The following is a 9,529-nucleotide window of genomic DNA, read 5'->3' as shown; positions in this document are numbered from 1 at the left end:
TTTACAAAGAGCTTGAGAACAACTCTTTTCAAGCCATTAGAAGTACCTATTACAGGCTCTATATCAGAAACATTTGATGGGCTTATGCACAATTAATTTGCTTTCCTGTAGCATATTAAGCATGACTTTGTCACAGCACTTCTCTGGTGGTATTGTAGCCCTTTGGTTTGGAGGCACCCTTACTCCTCCTCTCCCCACCCGCCCTGTACCCACTCATCCACCAAACTTGGAGCTTTGCAAGGGTAGGAGGCCTTATCTGATTTATCTTTATAACTCCAGGGGATGGCTGGGTGCCAGATATCTAGCAGATAATAGATAACACATGACCATAATAGATAATAGAAACTTGATGGGTTTATTGCATAAGTGAATTCCTAGCTATTTATTGAAACAGATTCTCAAAAATATCTCTTAGGTAATGCTTCTTGGAATTACTATATATGATCCAGTGGCAATAAAACTACATTTGTGGTTTTAAAACTCACTACATGGTAGCTGTGGAATATGGAGGAAGTCTCTTGACCTCTCTGGGCCTTCAAGGCATAGCCTAGAAATGTAGTCACATGGCCCACATGGTGGTTTCTTCTAGGCATAGCCTAGAAATGTCTGCAATGCTTGGTTTCCTGCTGTCTATAGCATGTACCCATTTGTACCTGTTCATTTGTGGGGGGCGTGGTGCTCCTGGCTGAACTGAAGCCAGTACAGGCCACAGAAGAAGTCATGACCTCTGTCTGGGGAAGGAAGAGTGTGTAGAGGAAGTTTTGGGTGCCAATGCCCAGGGCCAGAGAGGGAGAAATCTGTGGAGTGCCTTGTCCTGACGTAGACACATGGGCCAGGTCTGGGCTCTACTGAGAAAGGCATTGATATGATGAGCACATATTATTCTTATAATTAAAACAACAACAACAACAAAAAACCAAGTTATCCATGGATAGTCCATAAGCAAGCATGGTTGATTCTCCCTACAGAATATCTCTCGAGTCCACACACCCCTCGTCATTCCCCCTGCCTCCCTGCAGGACCGAGCCCCAGCCTCCTTCCTGGCCCACATGGGTGGTTCCTCCCCGCTCTCAGCTGCCCTTCATGCCTCACCCCACTGTGCACTCATTGCTTGGTAGCCATAAATTAAATCACATCCTTGCTCTGCTTAAAATACTTTGGGGATGACATCACACTCAAAATAAAACCCAGACTCCTCACCACAGTCTTGGATGACCGGGCCCAGACTCGCCTACAAACTTTACTTCCTACTTCCCTGTCCTTAACCTGTGTTCCAGCCACTCAACCTCTCTCAGTGCCTCAAGCCCAACCCTCAGGTCCTCCCCCTACTCTGTGCCCTCTGACCAGAGTGTTATGCCCGTTGCTTTTTGCATGAATGACTTTTAGGCTTCAGCATAAATGTTACCTCCTCACAGAGGTCCTCCCTGACCACCTTATCCCAGTGCCTGGTACATAGTGGATGCTCAATAAATAGTTGTTGCATGAACAAATTCTTCCCAACCCGCACGGACCCCAGTATGGCTCCCACATGGGGAGGATAGAATGGGAAGAGAGGCCACTTTGACATCTTGAGGCTTCATCTTGGAGAACACTAAACTATAGCATCGTATCCTAGACAGTAGTTTGAGCATCCACAAAAACTAGACGCAGCCCTGCGCAGACAACCACGATGGTGTGGTGCTGTCCAGCTAGCATGGACTTGTTTGAGGGTATGTGCAGGACAAGCCCTTCCCCACTCTTGGACCTCCAGAAATACTCAAAGGAAGGGATTTTGTAGGCATCTGAGGCCCTACCCAGCTGGCGGCAGCCCCAGGCCTGTGGGTTTTGTGTATTCACGTTAATGACAACTTGCTAATGGTTGCTCAGCTTCTGCTGTGGTTTGGGTATTTGTCCCCTTCAAATCTCATGTTGAAATTTGATCCCCAATGTTGGAGGTGGGGCTTAATGGGAGGTGTTTGGGTCATGGGGTGGATCCCTCATGAATAGATTAACGCCTTCTCTCCGGGGGTGAGTGAGTTCTTGTTCTATTAGTTCCCAAGAGAGCTGGTTGTTGAAAAAAGCCTGACACCTCCCCCATCTCTCTCTTGCTTCCCCTTTTGAGATGTGATCTCTGCACACACCAGCTCTCCTTCACCCTCTGCCATGAGTGGAAGCAGCCCAAGTCCCCCACCAGAGGCAGATGCCCAATTGTGAAGTTTCCAACCATCAGAATCATGAGCCAAATAAACCTTATTCTCTTTATAAGTTACCCAGTCCCAGATATTCCTTTATAGCAACACAAAATGGACTAAGACACCTTCATTATGGCCCTTTGCTCTCAGTAGTAAATCAAAGTCGAGTTTTGATTTAGTAAGCGTGTCTGTGTTCCTATCAGTCTTGCATCCTCACACGGGAAGTCAGGATCAGCACTCGCTTCTAAAGTTGGTTCTGATAGAGGCAGAAGGCCTTTACTGCAACAATATGACTTAATTCTGGAGAAAACACCTGAGGCAGAGGATTGCTTGAACTCGGGAGGCGGAGGTTGCAGCGAGCCAAGATCACACCACTGCACTCCAGCCTGGGCAACAGAGTGAAACTCCATCTCAAAAAAAAGAAAAAAAGAAAAAGAAAAGAAAACACATGAACAGAATCATCTCTCACAAGGGCTTCTGGAGACAGCGTGTGAAAAAAATCATCTCTCACAACTGCTTCTTTGCTCCTTACTTTTGCAGACATTCCATGGCCTGTGTAACATGGGCAAAAAGCATAAATGAAAATGGCTTCTGGCCTGTGCTGAGTCCTTTTCAAAGAGAAAAAGGAGGGGATAGTGCTTAGGAGCTGAGGGATGTCTGTTCGCCTATTTAACTCACAGACATCCTCCAGGGGAGCACCTGTCTGCTCTGGGTCCTTAGTCCCGGCTATGGAATTGGAGGAAACTAGCACATGCTGGCAAAAGAGCCCAGGGTCCAGCCAGGACCATCGTCCAAGCAAATGCAATCATGCAATCCTCATCCTTATCAAAAAACATTGGTATTTGGGTTGGGGAAGAGTCCAGGGAGAGACTGGGACTGGTGGCTTCCTGGCCAAAGATGGCCCATGGTGGTTTTCACGGCATGTGGGCTAGCAGCTACCCCTGTGTCTTCTCAGTTGTATTTGTGAGAATATATGAACTCATTACGTGATGGACCATGGGCAAGTTACCGGAACTCAATATCCTCCTCTATAAAGTAGGATGGCGATACCTGCCTCATGGGGCTGTTGTGAAGACAGAAGAGATTAGGTAGGTCAAGGGCTCAGCACAGGGCCTGGTACAGGCCAAGCTGCCTCTTCCCCCACCCCACACAGAGTTGACACAGAAATCTTCCTCCATCTTCATTGCACAAGACTTAAGAAATTTAGTTCATTTCAGATAAACCATCCTCTCTCAGGCCAGGAAAGCCATACCTTTCAACATCCAGACAGGTAACCCTTGGTCTCAGCCCTACCAAAAGAACCAGGACCTTGGCACATCATTTTCCAAAGGTGGCTAATCCAATTTAAGCATCTACAGAGAAGAACTAGCAACACCTCTCTATAAGGTCCTGTTTGTGGATTCTCAACAGTGATACCAATGAAGGCAGCTGTGATTTGTTGTACACTCTCGGTGGCCCGGGAAATTTTCACTTATTAGCAGATCTGGTCCTCACAAGAGCCTCAGAAGATAAGTCTTTATGATGATCCTCATTTTGTAAGTGAGGACACTGGATGCGGAGAGGTGAAGGGAAGTAGGAGGCAGAGCCAAGATTCGAGCCTAGGACGCCTGCCTCTCTCCTAAGTACCATATTACTGCCTCTTGCTTGCTGCATGGAGCTTTCCACGACCTGCTGTAAGATGTGACTTCTCTGTCTCCACCTAGGAGACTCAGGTCCCCATGGTGACAGTCACTATGGACTTGTGGACAGACCTATGGGCTGGGCTAATTGATCTGTGGTTCCCCTGGGCTCTCAGAGGAAATTGATTGCAATGATGTATTCCGAGTAAATTTGAAGGTGGTTTTTCTCCCTCAGACGTTTGTCGCTGTGACCTTGGATGCTGGGTGGAGTCCCCAGAGAATGGAGAAGCCTGATTTGATAGCCCTAGGAGCAAGCCAGGGCCTCTGAGGAGCTAGGTCGTTGCCATGGCATCCGCCTTAGCTCTTCCAAGGCTGGGCCCAGCCAGCATGGTCCCGATAAGCATCAAATCATGCCTGACTGGTGGCAACATTGCCAAGGGGATGCTGGCCCTGTGAGATGCTCTGGCCCTTTGAACGCTGGACAGGAGCCAGTGGGAAATGGGAACAGGGGGTCAGAAGGACAGCTCTCTTCTAGGGCGGCTGGTTCTCTGCTCCTGAATGAGTCCCTGCCTGTCAATGCCTCCCACCATGCCTAGCACAGTACCTGTCATGCAGTGCGTGCTCATGCTTTCACTCAAGCATTCAACCCATGTTTATTGAGCACGTCTATTTGCCAAGCCCTGCGGATACAATGAGATAAGAAACACACAGTGCTGACCCTCATGGAGCTTACATTTTAGTGGAGGAGGGAGCCATCAGTTAGTACAAAAACAACTGGGATGACAAATGCCATCAAGAGAGCTACAGGGTGCTTGCCTATCCTAGGGGAATTTGAGCTAATCAGGGAGGTCGGGACATCTACTTGAATTGAGATCTCAATGAGTGAGTGTTAACCAGAGGAGGAGGAGAAGGAAGAGCCTCCCAGGAAAGGGAACAGCCCGTGCAAAGGCCCTGTGCTGGGGGAACACACAGGCTGGAGCAGCGAAGAGCAAGGAGCAGCATGGGACAGGCTGACCACCAGACCCTGTGGGGTCTAACGAACATGGGCTTTTATCTCAAAGGAATTCAGAAGCCATCAGAGAACTGGTAAGCAGGGGAGATGTGATGAGATCTGCTTTAAAATGATCACTTGGCTGCAGAGTGAAACTTTGGAGGGAGGGATTGGAGTGGATATGGAGTGGTCAGAGGTTGGGGGAAAGTGCTCAATGGATATTTTCAAATGATTTTTAAAATCCATTCCCCAGTCTCCCTTCCTCACTGCCACTGCCTTGGCTCAGGCCCCCTCATCTCCTCCACACTAGACGCATGGCCTCTGTTATTTTCCATCTGTTAGCCGCCTCGCACGTGGCCAGCAGTTTCCCATTCAGAACTCCAGCTCTGATCATGTCCTCCACGATTACAAGCTGTTCTGTGTCTTCCTTCCCTCTGCCTGAAATGCAGAGCTCTGTCATTGCGGTTGCAACTTCCACACCTGCCTCTCCTTCCTTCCTTCCCTCTTCCCCTCCTCCCCTCAGCTTCTGGAACATTGGATTTACTTCCAGATACTGCTCTCTGCCAGGAATGCTCTGCCTTATCCTTTCAGAGCTGACTGGGAGCAGAGTTTTTCCTGATGGCTCTGCCCCTGGTTGACCATCTCTCTCCTGTACTTGGACTAACTCCCGATTTATATCTACCCTGCCTCTTTAGGGGAGGGAGAGAATTGATGGGAATATCTACCCAGTCCAGGTTCTTTTTTTTTTTTGTCTTTTTTTTGAGATGGGGTCTCGCTCTGTCGCCCAGGTTGGAGTGCAGTGGCGTGATCTCGGCTCACTGCAAGCTCCGCCTCCCAGGTTCACGCCATTCTCCTGCCTCAGCCTCCCTAGTAGCTGGGACTACAGGTGCCCGCCACCACATCTGGCTAATTTTTTTGTATTTTTAGTAGAGACGGGGTTTCACTGTGTTAGCCAGGATGGTCTCTATCTCCTGACCTCCTGATCTGCCCACCTCGGCCTCCCAAAGTGCTGGGATTACAGGCGTGAGCCACTGCGCCCGGCCCACGTTCTTAAAAATACATAAATTCATCTCATCCTAGTAACAATGATCATGTAAAGAAGATATTTTTATTTACATTTTTGTAATGAGGAAACTAAGGCTCAGAGAAGGGAAATAACTCATGCAGCAAGGTATGGAGCAGATGTGGGGTCTATCTACCCTAAAAACCCACATTCTTTAAACCATGGCAGCTGCCTCTTCCTGAGCTGAGTTAGGACAGGGGGTGTCATTGGGCCTCCTGTGGGGTTTGTTGTACCTGGGGAGGGAAGAAATCAGAAAACAATGTGACTAAATAAAGGCAAACTTCTCCCTCTCTCTGTAGCTGCCCTCTCTAGAGATTCCTCTGCCTTGGACAATTATATTAATAGTTTATGTGTTATAAATGTTTGTGTGTTATAAATAACATGAATATATTCTGACTATATCATGAGTATGCATAAACATCAGACTCTGTGAACTGCTTAGCTAGCATTATCTCAATAAAGACTTTACAAGAATCTCACAAGGGAGTTGTCATAATTATGCCCCTGCCATGGAGAGGAAATGGAGGCCCAAGCCCTCATCTACAATGCAAAAGGCTGCACTGAGACCCGAGCCCACCAACCCGCCTCTATGAAGTACGCCTTGTATGGGTACAAGAAATGACTTGCCCCGGGTCTTGAGGCCATTAGGGGCCCAACCACTTTTGTGGTCCTCACAGCTTTTCCCAGAGTTTCAGCCTCTGCTCCCTCGGCCCAGGGTCTTCCCATGCTTTTGGATTTCCCTATGGAAAGGAGGCAATTCTTACTTCAGTCATTGTACTTCACTCATCCACCCACCCATCCATCCATCCATTCACCCATCCACCCATGCACCCATCCACCTATCCATCCAATCCACCCATCCATCCATCCATTCACCCATCCATGCATCCATCCATTAATCTATCCATTTATCCATCCATCCACCCACACACCCATCCACCAATGCATTCACCCACCCACACACCCATTCATCTATCCATTTATCCATCCATCCATCCATCCATCCATCCATCCATACACCCATCCATACACCCAACCACCCATTGATCTATCCATCCATTCATCCATCCATCCATCCATCCATCCATCCATCCATCCACCCACACACCCATCCACCCATCCATTCACCCACCCATTCATCTATCCATTTATTCATCCATCCATCCACCCTTCCATACACCCACCCACCCATTGATCTATCCATCCATCCATCCATCCATCCATCCATCCATCCACCCACCCATTCATCCACCCATTTATCCATCCATCCATCCATCCATCCATCCATCCATCCATCCATCCACCCAATATTTATTAATACCTACTGTGTGACTTCCCCTACTATGTGCTGGGGCTACACAGAACAAAAAGGCAGAGCCCTCAAGGAGCCCACAATCTCTCCAAAGAGACAGCACTCACACTCCAAAGCTGCTGGAGCCAATGCAGGGACCAGTTAGAAAATCTGATTTCTGGAAGGGCCCAGTAACTCATTGAAGATTGGTGGCCTAAAGGTGTGATCGGAAAGTCCTTATTTTTCTCTACTGTCAGTAAGGGCTGGGGCAGATGTTGCAAATTGATAGGAAGGGAATGAGCTCAGCTGTTGCTTGTCCCTCGTGAACACCAACAATTAGAAAGCATCTTGCAGAATCTGGGCAAAGTCACCACGGTTGGATTTCCCCTGGGCCAGGCAGCTTGCTGAGGTTGTTCTAGAGGCAGATTGTCACAGCTCCTCTGTAGGCATCAGCTCAGGAGGCACTGCTCACTTCTCACTCTTCCTATTGACACGTTTGCCAGTGGAGTGGCTGCAAGGCAGGCTCTGCCTTCCTACAGAAGCTGCTGTAACAGCTGGCATTTACTCCATGCTTTCTGTGGGCCAGTTTTTTTATATGTGATGTCCTCACTCTTCACAATGATCCTGAGATGTGGACGCATTATCCCCACTTTACAGGTGAAAAACTGAGGCTCGTTGAGGGAGATCGGGCAGCCAGGCAGTGCAGCACAGGGTTGGAGCCTGCATCCATCCTACACAAACCTGTCTCGACTCTGTTACATACCATATTGTTTCACCACCAGGCAGCCCTGCCTGCAGGGTCAGTAGCAGATAAAATTGTGACATCTTCTAAGTTTCTGGTCCCTTTGATTCTGGGGATGAAGGAAGTCTAAGTGGCCCTGAGAAGCACAGAGAGAGGAAATGGGAGAACACTAGATACAGCTCTCAGTGCATGTGAGATAGTGTCTAAAAGTTTAGAATCAGGATCCTTTCACCTAAGATGCTGGTTGGATTTCCAGACTGATCCATAAAATCTTATTTGATCCCTAACTACTTGGAGAGATACCAGTAGTATTTTAACTACAACCAACTCTTGTTTATAATTCTGTTGCTATAAGAAATGTGTTCTGAGGTTTTACTCATCATACCAGCAACATTTCTTTCCTCTTCAATGCCCCTCACCCACAAGCTGCAACCTAAGACCTCCTCCCAAAAGGAAAGGGTGGGGCTTTACTCCTTTTTCCATAAGAGAGAGACCCATCCTAGACACCAGTTAATACTCCACGTCTGTCCAAGACAGGGTCTGACACACTTCAGGTTTGTGACAACTGTTGACAAAAACAGAGAGAAGATGGTAGTGAGGTAGGGTAAGAGAAAGAGAGGACAGAAAGGCAGCAGGAGGGAAAGTAAGAAATCAGGAAGGGAAAGAGAGAGATAGTCAGACAGGAAAACAATGGCTTTGTCTACTGCTCAAGTGTTTTGAGGGCCGAAGGGAGGATTACACAGATAAGCCAGCCAGAGTTGCCTGTGTTATACTTGGCCCCCACTGGCGTAATTTTGCTTTTGGCTGCAGCTGGCCTGTCTTAGAGATAAAGAGTTCTTCCGTGGCAAGGAAGGATTTTGAGGCTTCCACCCCGCAGGGGCACCCACCCCTGATATACCAGCACCAGCTCCATCAGCCCCTGGCTGCAGGGCAGCAAAGGCTGATGCTTGTGCCTCACAAATGGCTCCTTTCCATCCTGGGTGTCCATCTGCCCTTTGCTGATGGGAGAGACTTTGTCTGGCAGACAGGCATCGCTGGGTGTTGCCATGGTAATGGCTATGATGTCACTCAGGAGTAAATCAAATTGCAAATCTCACAGTTGAACAGCTTTGCTTTGGAAGGGTTGTGAGGAACGAGGAAAGGGTGGATGCCTCAAGGGAAGTTGCAGGGTGGATCCGTACCAAGTCCATCTCCAGCCTCTCCCGTTGCTTTGTCAACTAAGATGAAGCACATTTATTCATTCATTCATTCAAGTAATTTTTTGAGCACCTACTATGTGCCAAGCACCACGCTAGGTAAATCAGATGACGTCTCTGTGTGGTTGCACCATCTAGTGGGAGAGACAGGCATGTAAAAGAAATTACATCATAAACATGTGATTACCTTTGTGATTCATGCAGTCAAGAAGTGTATCAGAAGTATAAAAGTTTACTTGGGCTGCCATAATGGAATACCATAGATGCGGTAGCTGAAACAAAATAAATTTATTTTCTCACAATTCTGGAGGCTGGAAGTCCAAGATCAAGGTGTCAGCAGGATTGGTTTCTTCTGAGGCCTCTCTCCTTGGCTTGCACATGGCTCCCTCCTCCTTTTATCTTCACATGGTCTTCCCTCTGTGTGTGTATGTGTCCCAATCTCCTCTTCTTTTACAG

The 9,529-nt window shown here is 47.9% G+C and overlaps 1 long non-coding RNA gene across 3 annotated transcripts, besides 1 other annotated feature; it reads right to left on the bottom strand.

Annotated features, from left to right (window-relative positions):
• Positions 1,681–2,222: an enhancer, noted in NCBI's record as "NANOG hESC enhancer chr1:20605144-20605685 (GRCh37/hg19 assembly coordinates)". NCBI's record gives its function as "activates a minimal SCP1, AML or CMV promoter by ChIP-STARR-seq in naive H9 embryonic stem cells {active_cell/tissue: H9 hESC(naive)}" and the evidence as "EXISTENCE:reporter gene assay evidence [ECO:0000049][PMID:30033119]".
• On the bottom strand, positions 6,366–9,269 carry LOC105376828 (uncharacterized). 3 transcript variants are annotated; one of them, XR_001737788.2, is made up of 3 exons: positions 8,765–9,269; positions 7,170–8,013; positions 6,366–6,584 (listed from the first exon to the last, which is right to left on the bottom strand). It is a non-coding gene; the product is annotated as an uncharacterized LOC105376828 (long non-coding RNA). The 3 variants fall into 3 exon arrangements; XR_001737786.1 differs by having other exon boundaries at positions 7,264–8,013; XR_001737787.1 differs by having other exon boundaries at positions 7,264–8,013; positions 9,059–9,269.
• Between the last annotated feature and the right edge of the window lie 260 nt (positions 9,270–9,529).

Source organism: Homo sapiens, chromosome 1 (assembly GCF_000001405.40).
Source record: "Homo sapiens chromosome 1, GRCh38.p14 Primary Assembly".
NCBI classification, from domain to species: Eukaryota; Metazoa; Chordata; class Mammalia; order Primates; family Hominidae; genus Homo; species Homo sapiens.
Note: the sequence above shows the minus strand (reverse complement) of the source record. Positions and strands in the feature narration are given on the sequence as shown.